The following is a 26289-nucleotide window of genomic DNA, read 5'->3' on the forward strand; positions in this document are numbered from 1 at the left end:
TGGAAATCAGTTTTTTTTATTTTTTTAAGAACACAAACAAGAAATCCAACAAAGAACTGAGCGCAGCACGCGGCGAGGGCGTGCCGGTCTAGCACGTGCCCCTTCCCTCACCACCCGCTATCCCCCTGACGCCGCAGTCCGCCTAATGGTCCGGGCGAGGCCAACTCAGCTCAATGCCGGAAGCCCGCCAGCGCCTCCGCCCCGACAGCCCAAGCCGGACGGGCCCAGGTTCTGCCTGGCCCCGGCGCACCGATGGCGCGCAAGGGGCACCGTCCGTGGTGCCGCGCCCCAGCCCGGGTCTGGGCCGTCCGTGGCCCTCACTTCTGGTTGGCCAGCTGGTTCTCCAGATCCTCCAGGCGCGCCGTCAGCTGGGCCAGTGAGCGGTTAAGGAGGCCGTTGGGGTTCGCCGAGGTCCCTTCACTTTCCCTCCAGCCCGCGCCACCAGCCCCAAAGGATATGGTTCAGCGTCAGGCTCTCGAGCGCCCCCAGCGTGCGGCCCTGGAACTCCACGAGGCTTTCGCATTCGCATGGGCTCCGAAGCTCTGTCCCTGCGCTGATGCCCTCCTCTGCAAGCCGGACACAGAGGGTCAGGGGGATGAGAAATTGCCCTAGCTTTGGCCCTCTGATTTCCCTGCACTGGGCCTATGGTTGAGTATATGGGCTTTGGATTTAGAGAGACCTGGGCTGAGTCCCAAGCTAAGTAGCTGTGAGATACTGAAAAACTCACTAACCTTTCTAAGCTCAGTTTTCTCATCTATAAAATGGATATAATGAAAGAGTGTACGCATTAGTGGCTTCGAGGATTCATTCACCTGTGTACGTGTGTGTGTGTGTGTGTGCTCACGCACAACTTACAAGACTGTTTCTCAAACCTTAATGCTCATTGGAATCATCAGGAGAGCTTGTTAAAATATAGATTCTGCTTCAGAATGGAGAAGAAGCTCAGAAGGTACATTTCTAATAAGCTCCCAAATGATGCTGATGCTCCTGGTCTGTGGACCACACTTTGTGTAGCACTCTCCAAATAAAATTTTATGCAATGATGAAAGTGTTCTACATCTGCCCTGTCCAAAGCAGTAGCTACAAGCCACATGTGGCTGTTTAACACTTCAAATATGACTGGTGCTACTAAAGGACTAAAATGTATTTTATTTTAATCAATTGTAATTAAATAGGTACTGCCTACCTTTTTGAAAAAGCACAGATCTAGAACACTGCCTGGTTCAAGTAAATACTTTACAGCAGGGGTCCCCAATCCCCAGGCCATGGACCAGTACCAGCACATTACATGGACCAGTACCAGCCCATGGCCTGTTAGGAACTGGGCCACACAGCAGGAGGTGAGCAGCCAGCATGCAAGGGAGCTTCATCTGTATTTATAGCTGCTCCTCATTGCTCCTATTACAACCTGAGCTCCTTTCCTGTCAGATCAGTGGCATTGTTAGATTCTCATGGGAGCACAAACCCTATTGTAAACTGTGCATGTGAGGGATCTAGGTTGCAGGCTTCTTATGAAAATCTAATGCCTGATGATCTGTCACTGTCTCCCATCACCCACGGATGGCACCATCTAGCTGCAGGAAAACAAGCTGAGGGCTCCCACTGATTATACATTATGGTGAGTTGTATAATTATTTCATTGTATATTACAATGTAATAATAGAAATAAAGTGCACAATAAATGTAATGTGCTTGAACCATCCCAAAACCATTCTCCCCACCACCATCATGGAAATATTGTCTTCCGTAAAACCACTGCCTGGTGCCAAAAAGGTTGGAAACCACTGCTTTATAGTGTATTTCAACTAGACCAGTGATTCTCAAAGTGTGGTCCTTGGACCAGCAGCATCGGCATCGTGTAGGAATTTATCAAAAATGCTAATTATCAGACAACACCCCAGACTTGCTGAATTAGAAAATCTAGAGTTGAAGCCCAGCAATTTGTGTTTGTTTTTGTTTTGTTTTTTGAGCTCTGTCTCCCAGGCTGGAGTGCAGTGGTGCAATCTTGGCTCACTGTAACCTCTGCCTCCTGGGTTCAAGTGATTCTCCTGCCTCAGCCTCCCGAGTAGCTGGGATTACAGGCATGTGCCACCATGCCCTGCTAATTTTTTGTATTTTTAGTAGAGACGGGGTTTCACTGTGTTAGCCAGGATGGTCTCGATCCCCTGACCTTGTGATCTGCCCACCTCGGCCTCCCAAAGTGCTGGGATTACAGCCATGAGCCATCATGCCCAGCTGCAATTTGTGTTTTTAAAGGTCCACCAGGTGATTCTGGTGTGACCTAATTTTTAGGAACCACTGATCCTGATCCAACTCTATCTCCCCACACATCAACATCTTGGGGGTTGGGCAGGAGGCCTTACAATTAAAACTGGCACATGTTTTTTCTTAGCAGTACATAAGGTAGTGATGAATCTTAAAATGAATGGTATCTTAGATTCACTGAAATTCTATAAGCATGTGCCATTGTTAAGATTACAGGGAGGCCAGGTGCTGTGGCTCACACCTGTAATCCCAGCACTTTGGGAGGCTGAGGCGGGTGGATCACGAGGTCAGGAGATCAAGACCATCCTGGCTAACACGGTGAAACCCCATCTCTACTAAAACTAGAAAAAATTAGCCGGGCGTGGTGGCATGCGCCTGTTGTCCCAGCTACTCGAGAGGCTGAGGCAGGAGAATCGCTTGAACCTGGCAGGCAGAGGTTGCAGTAAGCCGAGATCGCACCACTGCACTCCAGCCTGGATGACAGAGCGAGACTCCATCTCAAAAAAAAAAAAAAAAAAAAAAAAAAAGATTACAGGGAATGACATAGAAAAAAAAAATGCTACAATAAAAGTACCTTAGGAAAAAAAAGAAAAAGGATTACACGTGGTGAAATAATAAGCACAATACCTGCCATTTAACCTTTGAAAACACTGCCATAATGATTTAAAAGTTGTCTCTTCATCTTAGTCTTATATGTACTATGAACAAACTGCTGGAATCCAGCAAAGACCCCTAACTTCACAGATTTGTTTCTCTAAACAAAGGGTTGGAGACAGGGAACAGTCATACCACCAATTGATAAAGAGCTTCAACCACAAAACCCAGACTTCTCTTAGAACTCTAGAACTAGAGGTAACCTTGGGCAGCCAGTGCCTCTCCTGTTACCGAAGAGAAAAGTTAAGGTAGGTGTGGGGTAAGTGACTCGTCCAAAGTCACACTGCAGGGCCCATAAGAGTCACATAGGAAGAGCTCTGAAAGAGCCCCTAATCTGAAAGAGCCACAATAATTAGAATTGGCTGAGAGCGGGGAGGGAAGGAGAGTTGGGGGAAGGACTGTATGTGTATATTTGTATGTGTATATACATGCACGTGCATGTGCATGCATACACAAACACATATTATATAATATAGTATATATAGTATATTATATATACTTTTTTTGAGACAGGGTCTCACTCTGTCACCAGGCTGGAGTGCAGTAGTGCAATCTCGGCTCACTGCAACCTCCACCTCCCAGGTTCAAGCAATTCTCCTGCCTCAGTGCCCACCACCTTGCCCAGCTAATTTTTGTATTTTTTGGTAAAGACAGGGTTTCACCATGTTGCCAAGGATGGTCTCGAACTCCTGATCTCAAGTGATCCAGCCGCCTCGGCCTCCCAGAGTGCTGGGATTACAGGTGTGAGCCACTGCGCCCAGCCCCCCTACATATATCTAAAAAAAAAAAAAGGCAAATTCTCCAGACCCAAACCAGCCCTACTTAGTCTGTTTCTGGAGCTGCAGTCTGATAAATGGGAAGAAGAGTCACATCTTAAGCCTGGGCTAGTGTCTAAAGTCTCTAGGGTAAAAGTTACCCTGGAGACATTCCCTGTATCACCTAGAGCACAGTACACTGCATGCGATTCAAGAGTCCCCTTCTTCACAGGTAGAGTCAGTCTCTTTTTCCTCAGCTGAGCACCAGATGATGAAGTAGAGGGATTGCACTTATGAGGTATGTTGTCCCCAATAAAAAAAAAAAAAGTCTTTGCATACTTAAAATATATTCAGTCCTGCCACTTTGCCAAGTTCATAAGGTTGAATTCTAACAAGTTCAGGGATATATGCTGTGGCTCCACTTACAAATGCTGTCTGGTGTGCCTTCAAAAAAATTTCCCAAATTATTCTGAACCTCCACTGATTTGGGGGACAGGTAGCCTAGTCTAGGATTTCTTAGACTTTAATATGCTTACAAATCACCTGAGAATCTTGTCGAAGTGGAAATTCTGATTCATTCGGTCTGGAGAGCACCAGAAATGTTTCAGTTCTAAGAAGCTACCGGGTGACCGCCCTGCCGCTGGCCTGCAGACCACATTTGGAGTAGCAAAGCTCTGTCTAGTGAGCCCAACCTCTGGCTATAACTACAAAGTGGGCAGGGAGTGAATAGGAAGGGGAGATATCAGAGGACGGGCAATGAGAGAGAGGAGGAGCCCCGAGAGAGATGCGCTCACCTGGACAGATGCTGCCTCTGAGGTTCTCCAGCAGGTGCGTCATGGTGCCGAAGTCCGGGGCATAGGACACGTGCAGTTCCGCTGGCTCCGAGGCGATCTCGCGCAGCTCCGCCTCCACCGCCTTGCCCACGCCCACGGCGTACATGACGATGCCTGCAAGGCCGGGGTCTCAGAGGGTGCCCCAGGCCTCGGGAAAGCTGCCTCCCAGCGTCTGACCCAACCCCAGCCCACTGTGTCCCATGCCAAGCCCACCTTCCTCCTTGGCGCGCGCTGCCCACACCGAGATGTCATCCTGGGAGCGGCCATCCGTGAAGACCAGGCCAACACGAGGCACGTTAAGGGCACGGGGCCGTGCACCCTGCGCCTCGGAGAAGCTGTGCTCCACCATGTGCCGCAACGCCAGCCCTGTCATGGTGCCGCGTTCCATGTACTCCACGGCCAGGACCGCCTGCTTCACCTCGGCTGCGGTGCCGTAGCGACCCAGAGGGAACTCGGTGCGCACGCGGCTCGAGAACTGCACCAGCCCCACCCGCGTGCCCTCGGGGGACACATCTAGGAAGTCCACAATCTGGTTCACGAAGCGCTTCACTAGCTCGAAGTTTTGTGGACGCACGCTCTTGGAGCCATCAACCAGCAGAACAAGGTCCACGTGGCCTTCCCGGCACCCTGCACAGCCAGAAAAGCTTGAATTGAGGGACCAGATTCTGGACTGGCAGCAGCTGTCTATCCATCTAGTCGTTCATTCGCAAACATTTATTATATAACAGACAACATTTCCTGAGTCCTTCCTGTGCCAGGCAGTGTGCTAAGTAATAATAATTATCACCATCATCATCACCATCACCATCATCATCACCCTCATCATCGCCCTTGACATTTATTCAGTGCTTAGAACAAACCACTCTGCTAAAAGCATCTTTTTTTAACAACAATCATAGTAATGACCACAATAACTACCATTTATTGATCATCTACTATGTATCAGGCACACTTCTAAGCACTCTACCAGTATTAACAATAATAATAACAAAAACATTATTTACCGACAGCTTACCATGTGGTAGGTACTGGGTGAAGTGCTTATATATATTCTCAATCCTCCCAATAAGCTTGAATATTGTCCCCATTTTCTATGACCTGAGGTTCTGATGGATAAAGTGATTGCCCCAGATTTCATAGCTAGTACTGACTGAGCCAAGACATGAAGCCAGGTCCATCTGACTCCAAAACCCATGCTCCTGAATGACTCTACAATGTCACCTCCCCTATTCTGAGCCAGGAAAGTTGCTAGGCCCAAAATGTGGTGTGTGTTGGCGTGGGGAGGTTTTCAAAGGTTTTGAAATAATTAAAACATAATCCTGTTCCATGAGGACAGAGCAGAGCAAGTCAGACATGCTATGTGCTCTGGTCAAGGAAAGTGCTAGAAGAGAAGATCATGCAGGGATCCCAAGGTAGGAATAGTGTATTCTTCCTGGAGTTGTTAAGGAAGGCTGCATGGAGATGATGGCCTTCTATCTGATCTTTGTTATGAACTGAATGAGTGTGTTTCCCAAAATTCATTTATTGAAACCCTACGCCTTTATGTGATAGTCTCCGGAGGTGAGATCTTTGGAGGTTAATTAGGATTAGATGAGGACATGAGGGTACAGCGCTTATGAGTAAAATTACTGTCCTTGTAAGAGTCTGAAGAGGTCAGGCATGGTGGCTCCCAGCACTTTGGGAGGCTGAGGCGGGCAGATCACTTGAGGTTAGGAGTTCGAGACCAGCCTGGCTGAGATGGCAAAACCCCATCTCCACTAAAAATACAAAAATTAGCCAAGCATGGTGGGGCACACCTGTAGTCTCAGCTACTCCAGAGGCTGTAACAGGAGAATCAGTTGAGCCCCAGAGGCAGAGGTTGCAGTGAGCCGACATCGCGCCACTGCACTCCAGCCCGAGAAACAGAGGGAGACTTAGTCTCAAAAAAAAAAAAAAAAAAAAAAGTCGAAGAGGGCTTGCTTCCTGTCTTCACCATGTGAGGACACAGCAAGAAAATTGGTGTGTGTGGGTGTGTGTGTGTAGGGGTGTGTGTGTGTGTGTGTGTGTTGGCGTGGGGAGGCTTTGAAAGGTGTGCCATCTAAGAATCAGAAAACAGGCCTTCTTTAGACACCATATCTGCTGGCACCTTGGTCTTGGACTCCTCAGCCTCCAGAATTGTGAAAACTAAATGTCTAGTCTACAGTACTTTGATATAGCAGCCTGAATGATCTAAGACAGTCTTGAAAGATCAGTAGGAGTTTGCCAAGGCAGTAAGGGACAGTCTAGAAGGTGAGATGCAGCACGTGCAGAGGCTTGGGATCTGGGGAGATCCTGACACATCCGGGGAGGGGCAGGCCAGTAAGACTGAAATGTTCAAGTGTGGCAGGAGATGGGCAGATGGAGTTGGCTGAAGCTAGATCGTGATGACCTAAGGCAGTGGTTTCAAAATTTTTATCACAGCCCACAGTAAAAATAATAATAATGACAATACATCATGAGACATTTCACACAGAACTAAAATTTCAGAAATAATATAACTCTTTCTACAGGCAGTAAACTCTATATTGTCTTCCACTCTTTTTTTTTTAATGTTGGTTGTAACCCAGTAATTTGATTTCATTATTCATTAATGTGGTTCTGCTCACCATTTGAAATACTTAGGGGTAAGTCATTTGATCTTTCTCCTGTAGTCATTGGTGAGCCACAGAAGGCTTGTGCACAAAGGAGGAATGTGATCAAATATGTATTTTTAAATTAACATTGACAGCAGAGTAGAGGATTGTAGGAAAGAGATGGAAGGAGGGAATGGCACACCCTCCAATGTCACCCCCACAACACACACAGACATTCACACCACAGCCTAGGGGCCACAGCAATGGCAAAGTCAAGGACACTCCAAATGTGGGCAATGGGGCAGAAGCCAACAGAACACCCTCCCGCCCATCACTCACGGTTGCAGCTCTTGCCATCTGCCTGAAGTTGCCGCCCCTCGGGGCACAGGCAGCGGTAGGAGAGGCCCTCGCTCACACACTGGAACTCACAGCCATGGTCCACGCCATTGCAAAGGTCCCGGACTGAAAGGAGAGACAGGTCAGGATGAGTCAGGATGGACCCCACCAGCTAAGATCTCTTACCCCTCCCACAAATGTAGGAGAGCCCTCCTCACCCTGACAGCTCCTCCCATCAGGCTGCAAGTCATGGCCCTCTCTGCAGTGGCACCGTGGCCCACCAGGGGTGCTAACACACTCATGCTGACAGCTATGGTTCCCAAAGCTGCAGTAGTCAATGGCTGGCAGGAGGGAAGAAACAGCAAGATGTTGCCTCTGATTGGAGCCCTCGGAGGCCACAGTCCAGGGTGTGGTGGGAGGGTGGGGGTGTTGCTCACCCCTGCAGCTCCTCTGGTCCTGCTGGAGTACAAAGCCAACTTGGCAGTGACAGAAATAGGAGCCTGGGGAATTGACGCAGTGGTGCTCACATCCATGGGTCCCTTCAGCACACAGATCAATGGCTGAGGAAGAAATGGGGTCAGTCTATGCCCAGGACTGCCCTTCTCAGCTCTGGTAGCACAACCACCTAAGGAAATTTTAAAGAATACCTACGCCTGGGCCCCAACCCCAAAAATCCTGACCTAATTAGTCAGGGCCCCTGTCCTCAAGATGCTCTCTGACTTACAGAGGACAGGTTTGGCCACTTTACCTATTTGAGCCTCCATTTTTCTATTTGCAAAATGGGAATATAATGGAAGACAGTGATTGCTATTCACAGCTTCCTTCCATGGAAGATGGGGAACTATTGCCCTGTTGAGCATCTTGATGATCTGGATAGGCAAAGATGGCCGAGAGCTGGACTGGAGAGAAGATAATTACCCTGTATAAAAAAGTGAGTATTTGGGGTTCCTGGAAAGGAGATGAGAGTGGAGAGAGGAAAGAAAAAAAAAAAAAAGAACAAGAGAGCCAGTATGAAGATGAGTAACTCTGTGGGTTGAGGCTGCCTGTGAAAAATCCCTTGTACTAGGCTGACTGAGGACTTTCAGAAACAAAGCTGTCTAATATTCAATTATAATGAGTTTTTCGTGTGTGTGTGCACGCGCTATGAGTTACTTAGCACATACACGCTTGTGTATGCCCCTGCATACACAAGTGTGTAAACCAACGAAGAGGTTGATTAACATGCATGGAACAAGAACAGCATGTGCAGGGTTGAGAAATGAGAGAGGATCCATAAATCAAATGAATTTAGCAGAGGCTCACAGCAAGAGGTGACAACCAGAAGATAAGCACTTGGGGGATTTCCAGAGGTCTTGGAGAGAGATTTGAATGTTAAACAGTCATCAAATCAGAGTTCAAGCCAACTTTTAGTTTCTAGAAACAAGAAGACCCCAGCTGACATCTGGGTTATTGGGATTACATGATTTCTTTTTCCAGGTTGTTGTGAGGCTGAGAGATAATAACATGTGTAATGCTCCTAGCACAATGTCTAATACTAACTTGGTACTCAGTAAAAAACTGAATTGAATAAGCGAGGTATTCTATGCCATAGCTTTTCAGAAGACAAAAATGAAGAAGCAGCTCACACCTGTAATCCCAGCACTTTGAGAGGCCAAGGCGGGAGGATCTCTTGAGCCCAGGAGTGTGAGACCAGCCTGGGCAACATAGCAAGGCCCTATCTCTTAAAAAGAGAGAGTCTTGAAAGATTTGCAAAGGCAGAGGGGAGTGGCAAGGGCAGCTCAGGTGAGCAGCACACAAAGAGCTGAGGTGCAGAGTCAAGAATGGGTGGCATGAGGGGGGACACCCACCTAATTGAAGACCCCCCAACAGTATCTAAGAAGAGAAACTGTAAGGATGTGCCTGTAAGAAGACAGAAATGGCCGGGCGCAGTGGCTCACGCCTGTAATCCCAGCGCTTTGGGAGGCCAAGGCGGGCAGATCACTTGAGGTCAGGAGTTCGAGACCAGCCTAGCCAACATGGTGAAACCCCATCTCCACTAAAAATACAAAAAATAGCTGGGTGTGGTGGCCAGCACCTGTAATCCCAGCTACTTGGGAGGCTGACACACAAGAATCACTTGAACCCGGGAGGCGGAGGTTGCAGTGAGCTAAGATCGCACCATTGCACTCCAGCTTGGGCAATAGAGCCAGACTCTGTCTCAAAAAAAAAAAAAAAAAAAAAAGAGAGAGAGAAAAGAAAAGAAGAAAACAGAAACAAGTTTGGGAGGTTGATTAGAGACTGGCCTGAAAACAGGGAGAAAGAGGGCAGAAAGCACACTGAACTGTGGGCTCCCACCAGGGACTTATGTGACCCCAGGCAATACCTTTCTTTCTTAGGCCTGTAAAGTGATGGAGGTGTGCTTTTACTGCCAAAGGCCCTTCCAGACTCATTGGTCTGATGTTGGGGCAATGGAGAGCCAAAGAAGGTTCAGGAGCAGTGAGATTGCAGGACAGGGATAGCTGTCATCCAAACAGCTCTTGTTATCTGCTGCTAGCTTGTAGCCTGGGTTGCAGGTGCAGTGGAACATGGCCCAGGCATTGACACATTGGTGCTGGCAACCATGTCCCCCCTCAGCACACTGGTCCTTCCCTGAGGACACACAGGACTAGAATCAGTAGGGAACAGATGGGCAGAAGCCTCCAACAAGAGAGAGCTGGATGGGGATGGGGTCAGAGGCAGGCATCACCCTCAAATGGCTTTCAGAAGGAAATGACTAATTTGAGAAGGGCCGTACCAAGTGAGAGGGCTTAGGGAAAGAATAAGGCTTAAGGAGCCCCTGTGAGTAGGCTCAGAAGAGGAGACACTCAATTAGACACGTCAGTGGGCTGGGACAGGACTACACAGGGGCAGGAGTGGGTAGGAAGGTGGAGAGGTGCTAAGTCGAGGTGGGCGGAATAAACTCAAAACAGATCAGAACAGATCTTGCAGCATTTGTGGGAGGAGCTAAGATGATAATGGGAGAAGTCATCCCCATGTGGGAGGGCCACGACTCTTTGGAGCAGCCGATCCCTCTTAGCTTTGAGAATCACTGGTTCCGTGTGTGCAGGGGGTTGGTGCTGGAATTTGACATTAAGCCTGTGGTAAGCTGTGGCGGGTAGGGCAAGAAATTATAGGTTGCTCCTTGTTGATGGAGGCTGAGCAGAAGTGGTCAGAGCTGAAATCTGACACAGCCTGCGGTAGGTCAGGGCAACTCTACCTGGAAATCGCGGGGCCACCCCCACGGGATGGGATTTACTGTGGTGGGAAAGGAATCCAAGCATTTGGATTGAGAGTTCGAGCTTCACTCCAGCGCCCTCCTAACTCACCACACAGCCGGCTCTGGAACTGCAGGCCGAACTCCTGGATGAGGTCGAAGGACTCTACGAGGAAGACGTGCTCGTCTAGCGGGGGCGATGCCATGGCGCGCAGGGAGCCCACGTCCGCGCGCTGCACCCCCACCGCGTAAATTTCAATGCCGCGGGCGCGCGCCTGTGCCGCCACCTCGGCCACGCGGTCCTGGGGCCGCCCGTCTGTCACGATGACAGCGACACGCGGCACGCGCTCCTCTGGCGGTCGCGCGCCCTCGGCCACACTGAAGGCCACGTTCATGGCGTACTGGATTGCCAGTCCCGTCATGGTGCCTTGCGCCAGAGGCACCAGGTCGCGGATGGCGCGCTCCATGTCCTCGCGGCGAGAGAACGCGCGGAGAGGGAAGACGCTCTGCACTTGACTCGAATACTGGATCACGCCAACGCGCGTGGCGTTGGGACCCACGTTCAGGCCTCGGAGGAGGCCCATGAGGAACTGCCGCATGGTCTCGAACTCGAAAGGGCGCACGCTGCGGGAGCTGTCAATCACGAACACCAGATCCAGGGGCCCAGTGTGACACCTGGGACCTGCGGGGAGATCAGGGAGGACTCTCCTAGGTCAGCAAAGCCTCACCTCCGAGGAGACCCCCTAGGAAACCCAGGGGAAATGCCGCTATGCCGACATAACAGCGCCCAGCACAGCAAACGCAGATTAGACAGATGCACTCGCCCGGCATGTGCCTAGCACCTGGGCTAGGAGATTTCACAAATTCCCTCATCTTACAGATCTGAGGGCTATTCTGAGGCGGTATTACCCATTGACGAGGGGGCAAGGAAGCGTCGCAAACTCAAAGCCTGCAGGGACCAGGCAGGGAACATGGATGAACTGGTTGGGTTAGGACGCTGGAGACCCAAAGAGCCCCTATCACTCCTAAATTGGGCAGGTAGCTGCATCCAAATGAGGCCATGCCCCTGCGAATTGGATGTCAGCAGATCCCTGGTTTTTCAAGAGAAATACTAAACAGGGATTTTTATGTAAAATTTCCTGGTTTTTTTCCATGTTTTCAAATAATTTTTCCAAATTAAACACCCCATGGGCAGTTCTGCATGCGCCCAAAACTAAGCCACATCCTACAGATGAAGAAACTGAGGCCCAGAAAGGTGAAGTGGGGAACTTAAACCCAGTCCCATATGTTCCAAAGCCCTTGCTTCCCTCTCCCCAGCAGGAGGAGCTGGCTGCAGAGGGAGGACCTGCTTCCGCTCCCCTCCTCCCACTGGTGAGGGCTGGGCCCCAGTTCACCTGTCAACTGGAGCTGGGTTTCCCAGGGCTGAAGAAGGAGCAGCAACACGGGCCAGCAAAGAAGGCCTCTCATGGCGCTTGGGGACAGAGAATGGAGGTGTCAGAGCCTGGAGGGAGGAAGGAAAATAGAAAAGCAACAGTATTTACAGAGCTCTTATTCTGGGTGATAGGCACTTGGAGGGGGAAGACAGTTACAGGTTTATTTTACTAATCTCTCTATTTTTGTGTATGTTTGAAATGTTTCAGAATTAAAAAATTCTCATCACAGTGGGATTGCTGGGAAACACAAGAGATTCTTTTTTTTTTTTTTTTTAGATAGAGTCTTGCTCTGTCGTCCCGGCTGGAGTGCAGTGGCATGATCTCGGCTCACTGCAACCTCTGCCTCCCAGGTTCAAGCGATTCTCCGGCCTCAGCCTCCCGAGTAGCTGGGATTACAGGCTCCTGCCACCACACCTGGCTAATTTTTTGTATTTTTAGTAGAGAGCGGGTTTTGCCATGTTGGTCAGGCTGGTCTCAAACTCCTGACCTCAGGTGATCCTCCCACCTCGGCCTCCCAGAATGCTGGGATTACAGGCGTGAGCCACCGCGCTCGGCCCACAAGAGAATGGTAAATAAGAATAGATACATAGATACAAATATGCAAAATTTAAACAGAAAAAAACAGGTCTTCCTTAAATGTCAGGCACAGTGTTAAATGCTCTTCACGCATTGTGGCATTTAATCCTCTCTGCAATTGTAAGACTAAGGCTGTGATTGTCCCCCATCATACAGACAATGAAATTGAGGCTCAGAAAAGTTAAGCGCTGGTACCCAAAGTCATTCGGCCAAAAAGTGGCTGCGGCAGGATACAATCCCACGCCTGCTAGTTTCTGTGAGCCAGCCTGGGCGTTTGGTGCCTCTCCTCCTGCCAGGCGAACCTCTGCAGACAGAAGCCCTTCCCCACCTCGGCCCACTCCCCTACGCACACAGGCTTCTGTGTGGCTGTCTTTGCAACTCGCCAACCCCCCCAGACCCCTCCACACACACAAACACAGACATGCACTGCCCAACCGCAGGCGGCAGGGAGGGGCTGCGCCCTGTTGCGGGGCTGAGCGTGGTGGCGTGGCAGCGAGTGGACCAAAACCCACTGCGCACGAGAACGCGCGGCTTGGCGCCTGTTTCCCGCCTGCTCTCAGGAGCGACCGCCAGGGGGCGCCCGAGATGGCAGGGGGCGTGGGAAGCCCACATCTGCCCAGCAGGTGCGCCCACCCCGAGCAAACAGGGGGCCGGGGCCCGGGGCCTTGGAGATAAGGCCTGGACAGGATATAACCCGCGCAAGAGCCGAGGAGCAGGGGTGTGCAGGGTTCCAGCGACAGCAGCACTGGACTCGTCCAGAGGGCGGCGGGTGAGCGGCTGGGGCCCCGTGGAGCCACCATGGACCCCGCAGGGGCAGCAGGTGAGCGCTTACCCTCCCGAGGCCCCGGAGACGCCCCGTGAGAACTACGAAGGACCACCCCCCCACCCCCTCCCCACTATACAAATAGGAAAACTAAGCCCCAAGGAGGCAGCCCGCCGAACTGCAAAAGCAGGATTAGAACCTAGGGCTCCTGGTTCCCCTTCTCTCTCTTGAGGCCCCCTGGCGCCTAGAATTCACTAAACCTCATTTCCTTCCAGCTCCTACCCCACCGCCGCGCCCCATGCTGAAGCTGTGTTAGCCATTTTTCTGTTGCTGTTTCTTGGCAGAGAGGGCCAGCTGCCCCTAACCCAACAGCAGCTCCGCCCCCGCCCCCCAATTCCGTGAATGCGCCTATTCTGAGCGAGGCCAGTGCCTGCTTCTCACTCCAGGCGACCTTCTCATCCCGGATTCTTCTCCCTTTTCCCCTCCCAGGCCTGGTAGAAGAACATAAATCCTCTGGCAGGGCCCGTCGTGGGAGGGTGACCAAGCAAGATGTGGCAGCGCTGGTGGAAGTGGGAGGGCGGGGAACCCTTGTCAAGCTTGGGCCACAGGCAAAGCCAACATCCCTGGACAGCATGAGGGCTAAGGCACAAGGGGCCTCTGCCACCTCCCATACTTTCCTACCCGGAGATGCCTCTGGGCCCCTAAATCTTGGTTAAGGTTCCCCTCATCCCATTCTTGGTCTGAGCCAACTTCTCACCTGGCACCCTGCCTCCACCCCAGGAATCCTAGAAAGTCAAAATAGCAAATGCCTCAAAGTTCATCACCTTTCCAAACCCCTCATTCTACAAAGAAAGGAACTAGGTCCAGAGAGGGTAGTGTCTTGCTGAAGGGTACATGGCGATGTCGTGGCAGGACTGATACTAGAACCTGGGATTCCTCTGAGGAGTTAATCCTTGCATTAAAAAAAGAAAGATTCAGAGATGCCCTGAGGTGAGGTTGAGGGAGTGGAGCAGCAAGGGAGGAGAGGCCTGTAAATAAATTCTCAAAAGTCCCTTAGGGACATTTCAGGGGGTTCCTGGAGGGATGAGAGTAGAAAAGGGATGATCCTATTTTGATGGCTTTGAGGGTGGGGGCTCGATTTGGAAAGGACCCTGCAGAAGTGGGGAAGGGCACTGCAAATCAGATAGGGCACCCTAGGCAGCGTCTCTGCTAAAATACACTCGCCTGACCTGGCTTGATGCCTACTCCCCTGCAGACCCCTCAGTGCCTCCCAATCCTTTGACTCACCTGAGCCTGCAGGACAGATCAGAGATGCAGCTGCAGAGCGAAGCCGACAGGCGGAGCCTCCCGGGCACTTGGACCAGGTAACGGCGGCGTGGCAGCGTGCCCTAGGTGGGGACTGCCAGGCAGCTGGAGCACACAGAGGCAACGGCCGCATTTAACCCAGGGCTGGCGGGTGGGGAGGGGAAGTGCAGGCTGCAACCCCTCCCACTGGCAGGGAGGGATCCCCCCTTCCTCCTGAGGGGGGGCAAACCCAGCACCCCCTGCTCCTACCACGCTTGGAGCTGCAGACAGGGCTAGCTGCGGGCCAGGCTGGAATTCAGCTACAGCGGGAGACTGGGGAGACCGGGGCAGCCACACTCCACAGCCGGAATTCATTGGAAGCTTAGAAGGCACTTCCCTGAGGAGAGCCCCAAGGGGTGGAGCGGTCCTGGCTGTGGCTGCTGCCTGTCTGGCCTGGCTTTCGAGGGTGCGGTCTTGCGCTGTCCCCTCCAGGAGTGAGGAGAGACTCTGGTCCTGCCAAGAGGAATAAGGGCTCAGAAGGACAGCCTCAGTTTTCATGGCTCTCCTTGGGCCTCAACCTGCTAACCCCCCAAATCTCTCCCACCTCCCCTCCTCTACTTGCTCCCTGCAATTGCTCGGGCCTACCCACCCACACCGCTCAAGACCCCCAGGTTAAGAAGCCACCAGACCTCTAGGCTCTAACCTGGCTCACTCTGCAGGACCAATGTCATCTGCCTTGACTCCTGTAATCAAGGGTAGGAAAGCCCACACAGCAACAGGCCACTTCTCATGGGAGAAAGGGAAGAATATGGCTTTGGCCCCAGAAAGGCTCAGATTCCCCCAGGCCATCCCCCATCCTGAGGACAAGGTTTTGGGCCCTTTTCTGTTTGCAGGCAGGAGGCTAGAGAGCGCTCCAGGCCAGGAGCCCAGGAAAGGCTCTCCCTTCCCCTCCCTCCTCACCCCCCACCCTGCCTTCCCCAGGGTGGGGAAGCTTCATCTCTACCAATTCCATCAGCCCTAAAATACTCTTCTCCATCCCAAGGCCAGTATAAGTGCAGCCTTTGTGTCACAGCCACGTGTCCCTATGGCCCTGGGCTCCAATGGGCATGATGCCAGACCCACAGAGTGGAACCTGGGTGGTCCCATGGGTTCCATGCAGGCTTCGTTGAGCACCTTGCAGCCTAAATATTTAGCCTACAATTTGCAGCCAAGTCTCCTCCTTACCTAATGCTTCCTCTTCCTGACCCCACAGGGGCAGGATATAGAGCAGCCCCACCCTCCCACTCACTCTAACCCCCTGCTCACTTCATTTTACTCAACCTGAGTGCTTGGACCCTGTGCCACCTTGACCCTTCTCCCTCCTGTGGCTGGTCGACCTGCCTGCCCTACTCCCAGGTCATCCCCAGAGCACACCACCATTCTGAGGGGAGGCGTGCGCAGGTGCCTGCAGCAACAGTGTGAACAGACTGTGCGGATCCTGCATGCCAAGGTGGCCCAGAAATCATACGGAAATGAGAAGCGGTAGGTGCCTCCGCAGCCCCTCCCAGGTCTCTGCAACTGTCAGCCCTATGCACCTCCTCCATCCACCCATTGGGCCTCTTTTAGACGCAGAGCAGGCCTCAGGGCTGAGATCTCAGCTATTGGTCGACCAGGGCCTTGACCCTCAGCCACCATTAGCCCCCACTTTGGTCTATAGTTCTACAGCAGGAGATTCCCTGTGAATCTCCTGTCTCCATTCATTCACTCATTCTCCCATTGATTCACTTATTCATTCATTCAACAACTACTTACTGAGTGTTTGTCATGTATGCACCAGGCTCTGTGGGTACTGCTGGGCACTGGGCATACAGCTGAACAAGACAGAAACAGCCCCTGCTCTGTAGCCCACACTCTCACTCAAGTGTGGAAGAGACAGACAGTAAACTCCCCACAAGTCAGGAAACAAGATACTTGCAGATTATGATGAGCACTAGAAGGAAAACTGAACGAGGCCATTTGACGGAAACTGAAGGCAGGGGGGACATTAGCTAGAAAGGTCAAGGAGGTTGAGAGACCTTTTGGGAGGTAACATTGGAACTGAAACTTGAATGCTGAAATGGAGCCAGACAGGAGAATATCTGGGGAAAGCGTGCTACAATTAGAAGGAACAGAAGGGCCGGGCGCGATGGCTCACACCTGTAATCCCAGCACTTTGGGAGGCCGAGGCGGGCGGATCACCTGAGGTCAGGAGTTCGAGACCAGCCTGGCCAATACAGTGAAACCCCCTCTCTACCAAAAAATACAAAATTAGCTGGGCATGGTGGCGGGCACCTGTAATCCCAGCTGCTCAGGAGGCTGAGGCAGGATAATTGGTTGAACCCGGGAGGCGGAGGTTGCAGTGAGCCGAGATCATGCCACTGCACTCCAGCCTGGCGACAGAGCAAGACTCAGTCTCAAAAAAAAAAAGGGCAACAGAAAATGGGAAGACCTTGAGGCTGTACCAATTAGGCCTGTTTGAGGTACAAAAGAAATGACAGTGGCTGAAATCAGAGGGAGGAGTTGTAGGAAACAAGTCAGAGAGGTAAGCAGGGGTCAGATCTCAGGAGGACTTTGAATTTTAAACCAGTGGAGGATTTTAAGGAGTTAACATGATTTGACTCATGTTTTTAACAAAACACTCTGGCCAGCCTGGTGGCTCATCCCTGTAATCCCAGCACTTCGGCAGACCCAGGTGGGCAGATTGCTTGAGCCCAGAAGTTCCAGACCTGCATGGGCAACATGACAAAACCATGTCTGTACAAAAAACACAAAAATTAGATGGGTGTGGTGGCTTGTGTCTGTAGTCTCACCTACTCAGGAGGCCGAGGTGGGAGGATCAGTTGGGGAGGCAGAAGTTGCAGTGAGCCCAGACAGCCGAGATCAAGTTACTGCATTCCAGCCTGGGCAACAGAGCAAGACCCTGCCTCAAAAAAAAAAAAAAAGAAAAAGAAAAAGAAAGAAACAGGAAGGAAGGAATGAAAGAAAAAAAGAAAGAAAGAGAGAGGAAGGAAGGAAGGAAGGAGCACTCTGGCTGCTGTGCGAAATGGGAAGGAGATAGAAACAGAACTTTCTGGAAATAGACCAGTTTGAAGGCTGATGCTGTGGTCCAGGCAAAAAGTAATGGCGGCTGGGATGAAGGGCGAGGTGGTAAAAAGCCAGTGGATTCTGGATATATTATATTTTGAAGGTGGAGTGGACAGGACCTTCTGATGAGTTGAATGAGGGGTGTAAAAACAATAAGGTTTGGCTATGAATGGGGTTTACAGTCGTGAAAAAGCGTTGCGGGGAGCGGGAGGAGGAAACGAAGGTTCTGCTGGGTTTATGCTACTACCTTGCCGTGCTTACAGGAGAGCCAAGTGGAGATGGATGCACGACTCCAACACTCACTTATCTCCGCAGGTTCTTCTGCCCCCCGCCCTGTGTCTACCTCTCGGGGCCTGGCTGGAGGGTGAAGCCAGGGCAGGATCAAGGTGAGGGCGGAATCAAGGGCTGCCGGCCGCCTGCTCTGTAGGGAGGACCACGAGATTGGGCCCGAGACGGGGCGGTTCGCAGGCGCAGTCTCCCCGCGCCCTCTGGCGGCGAGCGCTAAGCTTGCCTGGCACCTGCGTCCTCCCGAGTCCTTGCAGAGCCAGTTCGCGTCCCTTTCCAGCTCACCAGGCGGGGGAAACGGGGCCCACGGTCTGCGGTTACATGGGACTGGACAGCGCGTCCGGCAGCGCCACTGAGACGCAGAAGCTGAATTTCGAGCAGCAGCCGGACTCCAGGGTGAGAGCGCACGGGAAGGGGTCCGATTCCTGCTCCCATCCCTGCCTCTCCTGGGAAAGGAGGGCTCCTTTACTCCCCTCCGAAAGCCAAGAGATAGGTGGGGAGACCGGGAGGCCGGGGTCCTGCCTTAAGGCCGAGCCTGAGAGCCTGGATGGTGGAGCTTCTGGTCACCTCCGACGGGGCGGACGTCCGATATCTGGGAGAGGTTGGTTCATCCGACGGGGGAGGGCTGGGATGAGATGGCCCTGTACCTGTGAGCCCCCTAGGAATTCGGCTGCGCCAAGACCCTGTACATCTCAGATGCAGACAAGAGGAAGCACTTTCGGCTGGTGCTGCGGCTGGTGCTGCGCGGGGGCCGGGAGCTGGGTACCTTCCACAGCCGCCTTATCAAGGTCATCTCGAAGCCCTCGCAGAAGAAGCAGTCGCTGAAAAACACCGATCGTGAGCAGGGCGGGGCCTGACCCCCGGCCCGGGCGGGGAGGTGCAACCAAGCCCAGAACGGCTAAACTGGGGCGCGGAGGTGGGGGTAGGCTGGGCTTAGGGGTCAGAGTGGAAAAGGTGGAGTCGGAGCCGAGAGGGGAAGGAGTCTGGATGAGTGGGTGCGGCCCAGGCCTGGGGATGAGAAGAGTTGGAGGATGAAAAGCAGAGAGGAAAGGGACAGATACCAAATTCCAGGTTGGGAGTTGGGGTCCCAGAGCAGACAAAAGTTGAACTAGGCAGGAGTTGAACTAGGGACAGACTAAAAGTGACATAGGTGGGGCACGGTGGCTCATGCCTGTAATCCCAACAATTTGGGAGGCCAAGGTGGGCGGATCAGTTGATCCCAGAAGTTCAAGACTAGCTAGGGCAACATGGCGAAATCTTGTCTGTACCAAAAAAAAAAAAAAAAAAAGAAAAAGAAAAATTAGCCTGGCATGGTGGCCTGCACTTGTTGTCCCAGCTACGTGGGAGGCTGAGATCAGAAGATCACTTGAACCCAAGAGGTCGAGGCTGCAGTGAGCTGTGATAGCACCACGGCAGTCCAGCCTGGGTGACAGGGTGAGATGCTATCTCAAAAAAAAAAAAAAAAAGTTTTACTTTTGTTTGTTGAACTGAAAGATGTCCAGACAGCAAAGGAACAGGCAAAGGTTCCAAAGCAGGACTGCAGCAGGTCCTGGAAAAACAGCTGTGAACTGGGAATGCCCAGTGTATCTAGGCCTGTGGGCACATTAGCCAGGCCGGCACAGGGACAGAAGATTGGAAACTGTCTGGAAAGTCCAAGGAACCAAGCCAGGACAGGGCACTGATAGCACCAACTAACCTTAACCCTCACCCTGACCCCCTCCCTCACCCTAACCCTCACCCTAATCCTAATCCTTACCCTCACCCTCACTCTAACCCTCACCCTAATCCTAACCCTCACCCTCACCCTAACCCTCACCCTAACCCTAACCCCAATCCTAACCCTAACCCTATCCCCTCACCCTAACCCTGACCCTCACCCTCACCCTAACCCTGACCCTCACCCTCACAGTGTGCATATCCTCCGGCTCAAAGGTCTCCCTCTTCAACCGCCTGCGCTCTCAGACGGTCTCCACACGCTACCTCTCTGTGGAGGATGGGGCCTTTGTGGCCAGTGCACGACAGTGGGCTGCCTTCACGCTCCACCTGGGTAATGACATCTGCAGGCCCTGGAGCTGGGCACTTCACATGCATTAGCTTATTTAACCTCCACCACAACTCCTTAAGGAAGGTAAACTCTGCCCCATGTGATTAAGGCTCAGAAACACAAAAAGACTTGACTACAGTCCCAGTGAGCTGGTGACTGTTCCAAGCTATTCTGACTCCCTTATCCATGCCCTTTCCCCATATATCAACTAAGCTGCCTGCCCCCAACCCCTGCCCCCAGGGCAGACATTTGTGAGGATGGCCTCAAATGGCCTCTCCAGAATTAGAACCTTCAGTTGGCTCCCCTGAGTACCAAGCTTTCCCGCAGGGCCCATGTGTGATGTGAGGAAGAGCCAGAGGCAACAAGGCAGGGTTTAAGGCAGAAGCTTGGGGGCCGCTGAAAACCTTGTCCCTTGCTTTTTTTGTCCCCCAGCTGATGGGCACTCTGCCCAAGGAGACTTCCCACCGCGAGAGGGCTACGTTCGCTATGGCTCCCTGGTGCAGCTCGTCTGCACGGTCACCGGCATCACACTACCTCCCATGGTATAGGAAGGGAGGGCATGCCTGGAGGGGTCCCCTCAGATCCATGCAGAGAATGTGGCACACACGGGCAGGGCTGGAGAGTGAGGCCCCAAGGCATGGAGACACCTGTTCTCACCCAGTGTCGCGTAGGACCAGACAGAAGTCAAAGGGCAGGGGGAATCTGCTAGTGCCTGTGTGGCTATTGGAGTAGCAGACAGCCGGCTAGGAGGGCAGCCTCTGGACGCCCGGGCTCCTTGCCACCACTGTTCTTACCATCCTTCCATTGCAGATCATCCGTAAAGTAGCAAAACAGTGTGCGCTCCTTGATGTGGATGAGCCCATCTCCCAGCTGCACAAGTGTGCATTCCAGTTTCCAGGCAGTCCCCCAGGAGGGGGTGGCACCTACTTATGCCTTGCCACAGAGAAGGTGGTGCAATTTCAGGTAAGAAGCAGAGAATACCAGCACCAAGTGTCCTGGAAAGGGAGAATGCAGAGAACCACAGAATGTAAGATCATCACCCTCACCATGGTTGCTACTTCCTGAGCAGCCTCCCATGGAACATTAAAATCATAGACTCCCAGGACAGAATCATAGGATGTAGAAAAATAGTAATAAGTAATAGTATGAAGCAATATTCCTTCCCAAAGAATTTTAGAGTCATAAAATATTGGGATATAGCCAGGTGCGGTGGCTCATGCCTGTAATCCCAGCACTTTGCGAGGCTGAGGTGGGCAGAACACCTGAGGTCAGGAGTTCGAGACTAGACTGGCCAACATGGTGAAATCCCATCTCTACTAAAAATACAAAAATTAGCTGGGCATGGCAGTGGGCGCCTGTAATCTCAGCTACTCAGGAGGCTGAGGCAGGAGAATTGCTTGAACCTGAGAGGTGGAGGTTGCAGTGAGCCAGGATCACACCATTGCACTCCAGCCTGGGTGACAAGAGCAAGACTCCATCTCAAAAAAAGTAAGTAAATAAATTGGGATATAAAATTGTAGGATGTAAATAAAAATCATGATAGGTAATAGAGAGCAGAGAATTAATGAGCAAAGACTATTCGAAGCACAGATAAAGACACAGAATGTGGAAAATTATAGAATGTGGAAAATAATAATTATCGTTAAGCAGTAGTACTCCCAAAAGAATATTATCATAGAATGTTACGAGATAGAATTATAATATGTGGAAAATAGCAAGTATTATTCCTTCCCCAAGAATATTCCTTCCCAAAGAATATTAAAATTGTAGATTATTAGAGCATAGAATTGCACAATGTTAAAAAAAAAAAAATTCTGGAATCCCAAGAAAAAAGACCCTTAGAAATCAGCTATCCCAGGCCGGGCCAATGGCTCATGCCTGTAGTCACAATACTTTGGGAGGCTGAGGCAGGAGGATCACGAGGCCAGGAGTTTGAGACCAGCCTGGCCAACATGGTGAAACCCTGTCTCTACTAAAAATACAAAAAAATTATTTGGGCGTGGTGGCTGGCACCTGTAATCCCAGCTACCCGGGCGCCTGAGGCAGGAGAATCATTTGAACCCGGGAGGCGGAGGTTGCAATGAGCCAAGATCAGGCCATTGCACTCCAGCCTGGGCGACAGAGCGAGATTCAGTCTCAAAAAAAAAAAAAGGAAGAAAGGAAGGAAGGAAGGAAGAAGAGAGAAAGAGAGAGAGAGAAAGAAAAAGAAAGAAAGAAAGAAAAGAAAGAGAAAGAAAAGAAAAAGAGAAAGGGAAAGAAAGAAAAGGAAGGAAGGAAAGAAAGAAAAAGAAAGAAAGGAAAAAAGAGAGAGAAAGGGAAAGAAAAAGAAAAGGAAGGAAGGAAGGAAAATAAAGAAAAAAGAAAGAAGAAAGAAGAAAGAAGAAATCAGCTAGCTCAACAAGCTTTCTTAACGCTAAGTGAGAGAACTTAAGGGCACTGTCCAAGCTGAGGGGACAAGTGAACCCCAGAGCCTAGGATTAGTATCCAGTTCGGTCTAACGCAGAAGCCCACGCGCCATGCTGGCTCCCTACACTGGTGGCCACCATGAGAAGCTTCGGCCTCGTCCCCTTGGGTCTCCTCCCAGGCCTCTCCCTGCCCCAAGGAGGCGAACAGGGCTCTGCTTAACGACAGCTCTTGCTGGACCATCATCGGCACCGAGTCGGTGGAATTTTCCTTCAGCACCAGCCTGGCGTGTACCCTGGAGCCGGTCACTCCGGTGCCTCTCATCAGCACCCTAGAGGTGAAGCCGGGCGCTAGGGGCGTTGGGCAGGGGGACCCTGCCTGCACTGGGCAGTGGTGGTGCTAGTGAGTGGGGGGCAGCGGGTTCCCGCCCTACTTGGTTCTCTCACCTCACCTGGTCCCACCCTCCCCCAGCTGAGCGGCGGGGGCGACGTGGCCACGCTGGAGCTCCACGGAGAGAACTTCCACGCGGGGCTCAAGGTGTGGTTTGGGGACGTGGAGGCAGAAACCATGTACAGGTACGGGGTGGTGAGGCAGCCTCTCTTGGGCCCCGGGGAGCAGGGGAAGGGGGTGCACGCGTCGTCGGAGTCGCCGCAGCCCTCACCCTGGTGCTCCACCCCCAGGAGCCCGCGGTCCCTGGTGTGCGTGGTGCCGGACGTGGCGGCCTTCTGCAGCGACTGGCGCTGGCTGCGCGCTCCCATCACAATCCCCATGAGCCTGGTGCGCGCCGACGGGCTCTTCTACCCTAGTGCCTTCTCCTTCACCTACACCCCGGAATACAGCGTGCGGCCGGGTCACCCCGGCGTCCCCGAGCCCGCCACCGACGCCGACGCGCTCCTGGAGAGCATCCATCAGGAGTTCACGCGCACCAACTTCCACCTCTTCATCCAGACTTAGGCGCGCCCGGTAGCCCCGGCTGCCCACCCTGGAGGGCTGCGCCCGCGCCAGGCGCGGGGACGTGTTTCTGGGTTCTAGGCCCTGCTTCCTTGCCCCTTTGCTGCAGAAGGGCAGCTGAAGGCTCACCCTAGAAACCGGGCCTGGTGGGTCTTACCCGGCTCACTCCCTCCCTTGTCCTTACACATACAGGAAGACAAGACCTGAGTGGTGCTGTCTTTGTGTCCGTCGTGTATGGCTCTCCCTGTCTTCATTTCTTCTCACTCTGTCTCTAAACCTCTCTCTCTCTCCCTTCCCCCTCAGTACTTAGTCTACAGACCTATGTGCGTGTCCCTATCCTTCTGTCCTTTTCTCTCTTCAGCTCTCCCTGCCTCTCACACACAATTTTACATGCCCCGAGGAGCCAAGTTTGGGACATTTACCCTCCAGGCATCTGTGTCCCCTCTTGAAGAGAAAACACACAGCTTCACACATCCAGGCATAGGGGGCAAGCTCTTGGGGCATCAGGACCCTGGAGCACCAGGTCCTTCCTGGAATATTAGATCCACCTGGAGCACCGGGTCTCTCTAAGTCTCACCTGGGGAATTCGGTCCCACCTGGGGCACCAGTTCCCACCTAGAGCACTGTGTCCTGCCCTAGAGCACAAAGACCTGCTCCTCCCGAGACTCTCTCTGACTGCAGCCAGGCATAGTACCTTTGCCTGTGTTTGCTCCCTGGTCCACAGATTTGGTGGCTGGGCAGGTGCCTGGACAGTGATGAGGTCTTGCCGCCTTAACTGTCCCCCCCAGTCACTTCTCCCACAGGCCCAGCAGGACGCAGTCCTGAGGATCAGGGATTCTACAGCTGCATTAAAATCAATCCTATCCAAGGCAGAGTTTGGTCTGTATGAGCCACCTCCCCAAGTGTGCCTCCCCCAACCCTCGCACCAACACACAAAAGAGGGGACCTGCACAGAAAGAAAAGAACCACAAGTCTGATGGAGCAGAGAGCCTACCTTTTGGACGTTTTCTAGAGGAGGAACAGGGTGCAGAGGCAGCTGGCATCCTGAGTCCCTGTCCCTGCCCTGGGGTTGTTACCCTACTAGCTATCTCTCCATCCCAAGCAAGGGTGCACCCCAGGCCCAGAGGTGACCACGGGACCCTTTCAAAACAAAGCTTTCCCAGGATAGCCCTGGGCAGAACTCCTGGGATTGACTGGGCAGTAATGTAGTTGAGAGGGGGGCCTCTCTGCATGGGGCTGATGGACAGAATCACAATCTATTCCCCACCAGCCTACCCACCCTAGGTACCACTCTACCCAGTCTGTGCTTTATAGGGAAGGAAAAAAAAACCAGGCAGAACACTGGCTTGGGCTATTGGAATCAAGGACACAGATAAGTATCATGGGTGCCAGCTACCTGCACCAGCCTCTGGTGGTGCCTGATGGGAAAACTGGTCTGAAATGTGGGTTCTAGGTTCTAACCCTCTGGAGAAGAGCTTGCCCTCCTAAGGAAGAGCTCATTTCTTGTAAAACTCCTCCCCCAGGGTATGGAAAGTCCCATGAGAAAAAAGAAACGAACAATACGCAGAGGAGAGGAAATGGGGTATGTTCTTTAGCCTTCCCAAAGTCTTGACTAAGTTCTGCCATCTGCCATCAGCAGGCTGCAACCCACTGTGAGGGGTGAGGAAGAAGCCTGTGGCCCCTGAAGGTGAATCTTGGCTGAGGAAGGCAGCAAATGAGTTGAATGGGAAATGTCCCTGAAATGAGCGCCTGACTCACCGTCCATGGTGGTGTTGAAGCAGGCAGCCAGGAGGGAGGAGGCTGAGAAGAGTGTCATAGCGCACCACATGGGGAATTGGGGCTCAAGCGCTCATCGTCCAGCCCTGCCCCCAAAGTCTTCCTCCACCACTCCTCAAGGCAGGAGTCCCAGAAGCCAATAATCTAGGTTGGACCAAAAGCCCAGACCCAGCCATACAGCTCTGTCTTAGTCCTCACCCATCTCAGGGGATCCTATAACCTTTGGTGTCCCCAAGGTATCCATCTGGAAGTCTGTGACCAAAGCTCCAGCCCTGGCCTAGCTTCTGAGTTCCAGCTGCTGAAACTGTCCTTGGAGGTCTTCCTTGCACTGAGTCTGAAGCCATCTAACATCAAACTCCTTTCCCTCTCCACCTGCCTTGCAGCACCACCTCTAGCTCCTTCCCCCACACCACCCAGTCACCCAGGCCTAAGGATCCCACCCCCACTTCCACACTACCATATGCCTCCTGTTTTCCTCTCCCTCCACTACTGCCCTGCCAGGTCCTGTGTCGCCTCTTCCAAAATTTCCCAAACTACTCTAGGTAGAACTAGCTATATAATTTGTGGGCCCCAGTGCAAAATGGCCCGTTGTTCAAAAATTATTCAAGAATTTCAATTCGACTGAACACGGGATTAAAAAAAAAAAAAGAACTTCAAGACAGCCACAGGAAATGATGAAACCAAGTGCAGGGGCCTTCCAAGCACAGGCTGCACAACCACGAAGCCAGCCCTGGCCCCAGGCTTTTTTCTTGTATTCCCACAGACCCTCAATGGGACCATATCGACTGCCTGCTTTGGATCAAAGGTTTTACCTACATGCCCATTGTCTCCTCTAGGCTGCCATCTTCATGGGGAAAGGAGCTCTTATCTCTGCATGTCCTAAAGGGTGCATCACAATGCCTCGCATGTTGAGTTGGTGCTCAATAAACAGTGAATTGCATTATATGGCATTGGCAGATATTTAGATATTGCTAATGCAAAGTGAAACCGGCAGGTGGCACTGTTC

General features: G+C 52.2%; 2 protein-coding genes across 13 annotated transcripts, besides 2 other annotated features; one reads left to right on the forward strand and one right to left on the reverse strand.

Moving 5' to 3' along the window:
* MATN4 (matrilin 4) lies at positions 1-15235 on the reverse strand. Of its 9 annotated transcripts, NM_003833.5 has the most exons (11): positions 14993-15080; positions 14726-14848; positions 12061-12167; positions 10779-11348; positions 7872-7994; positions 7653-7775; positions 7438-7560; positions 4721-5134; positions 4469-4621; positions 459-566; positions 1-376 (listed from the first exon to the last, which is right to left on the reverse strand). In NM_003833.5, the coding sequence occupies exons 3-11, from the start codon at positions 12131-12133 to the stop codon at positions 318-320; spliced, it is 1746 nt and encodes a 581-aa protein (NP_003824.2). In that variant the 5' UTR covers positions 12134-12167; positions 14726-14848; positions 14993-15080; the 3' UTR covers positions 1-317. The 9 variants fall into 9 exon arrangements, with proteins under 9 accessions (NP_003824.2, XP_016883602.1, NP_001380459.1 ...); XM_017028113.2 differs by having other exon boundaries at positions 1-566; positions 14993-15235; NM_001393530.1 differs by lacking the exon at positions 14993-15080 and having other exon boundaries at positions 14726-14850.
* Positions 379-438: a silencer, noted in NCBI's record as "silent region_12955". NCBI's record gives its function as "represses an Ori minimal core promoter by ATAC-STARR-seq in GM12878 lymphoblastoid cells {active_cell/tissue: GM12878}" and the evidence as "EXISTENCE:reporter gene assay evidence [ECO:0000049][PMID:35858748]".
* On the forward strand, positions 13391-24375 carry RBPJL (recombination signal binding protein for immunoglobulin kappa J region like). Of its 4 annotated transcripts, none has more exons than NM_001281448.2 (12): positions 13391-13495; positions 14694-14802; positions 16118-16243; positions 18140-18210; positions 18390-18505; positions 18772-18946; positions 20019-20156; positions 20586-20695; positions 20964-21116; positions 22738-22893; positions 23028-23141; positions 23237-24375. In NM_001281448.2, exons 1-12 carry the CDS (start codon positions 13474-13476, stop codon positions 23360-23362), a joined length of 1416 nt encoding a protein of 471 aa, NP_001268377.1. In that variant the 5' UTR covers positions 13391-13473; the 3' UTR covers positions 23363-24375. The 4 variants fall into 4 exon arrangements, with proteins under 4 accessions (NP_001268377.1, NP_055091.2, NP_001268378.1 ...); NM_014276.4 differs by having other exon boundaries at positions 23028-23131; NM_001281449.2 differs by having other exon boundaries at positions 23028-23131; positions 23240-24375.
* Positions 18174-18223: a silencer, noted in NCBI's record as "silent region_12956". NCBI's record gives its function as "represses an Ori minimal core promoter by ATAC-STARR-seq in GM12878 lymphoblastoid cells {active_cell/tissue: GM12878}" and the evidence as "EXISTENCE:reporter gene assay evidence [ECO:0000049][PMID:35858748]".
* Positions 24376-26289: the final 1914 nt, after the last annotated feature.

This window comes from Homo sapiens, chromosome 20 (genome assembly GCF_000001405.40).
Source record: "Homo sapiens chromosome 20, GRCh38.p14 Primary Assembly".
In the NCBI taxonomy this organism is placed as follows: Eukaryota; Metazoa; Chordata; class Mammalia; order Primates; family Hominidae; genus Homo; species Homo sapiens.

Coding starts and splice junctions, on each gene's coding strand:
- MATN4 (NM_003833.5), bottom strand. CDS start 12,133: ATGAGAGGCCTTCTTTGCTGGCCCGTGTTGCTGCTCCTTCTTCAGCCC. Junction 7,776..7,871: donor GGACCAGAGGAGCTGCAGGG/GTGAGCAACACC, acceptor CCCTCCTGCCAG/CCATTGACTACTGCAGCTTT. Junction 5,135..7,437: donor AGATGGCAAGAGCTGCAACC/GTGAGTGATGGG, acceptor CTGGCTGTGCAG/GGTGCCGGGAAGGCCACGTG.
- RBPJL (NM_014276.4), top strand. CDS start 13,474: ATGGACCCCGCAGGGGCAGCAG. Junction 18,211..18,389: donor GAAGCCAGGGCAGGATCAAG/GTGAGGGCGGAA, acceptor GTCCCTTTCCAG/CTCACCAGGCGGGGGAAACG. Junction 18,947..20,018: donor GTCGCTGAAAAACACCGATC/GTGAGCAGGGCG, acceptor TCACCCTCACAG/TGTGCATATCCTCCGGCTCA.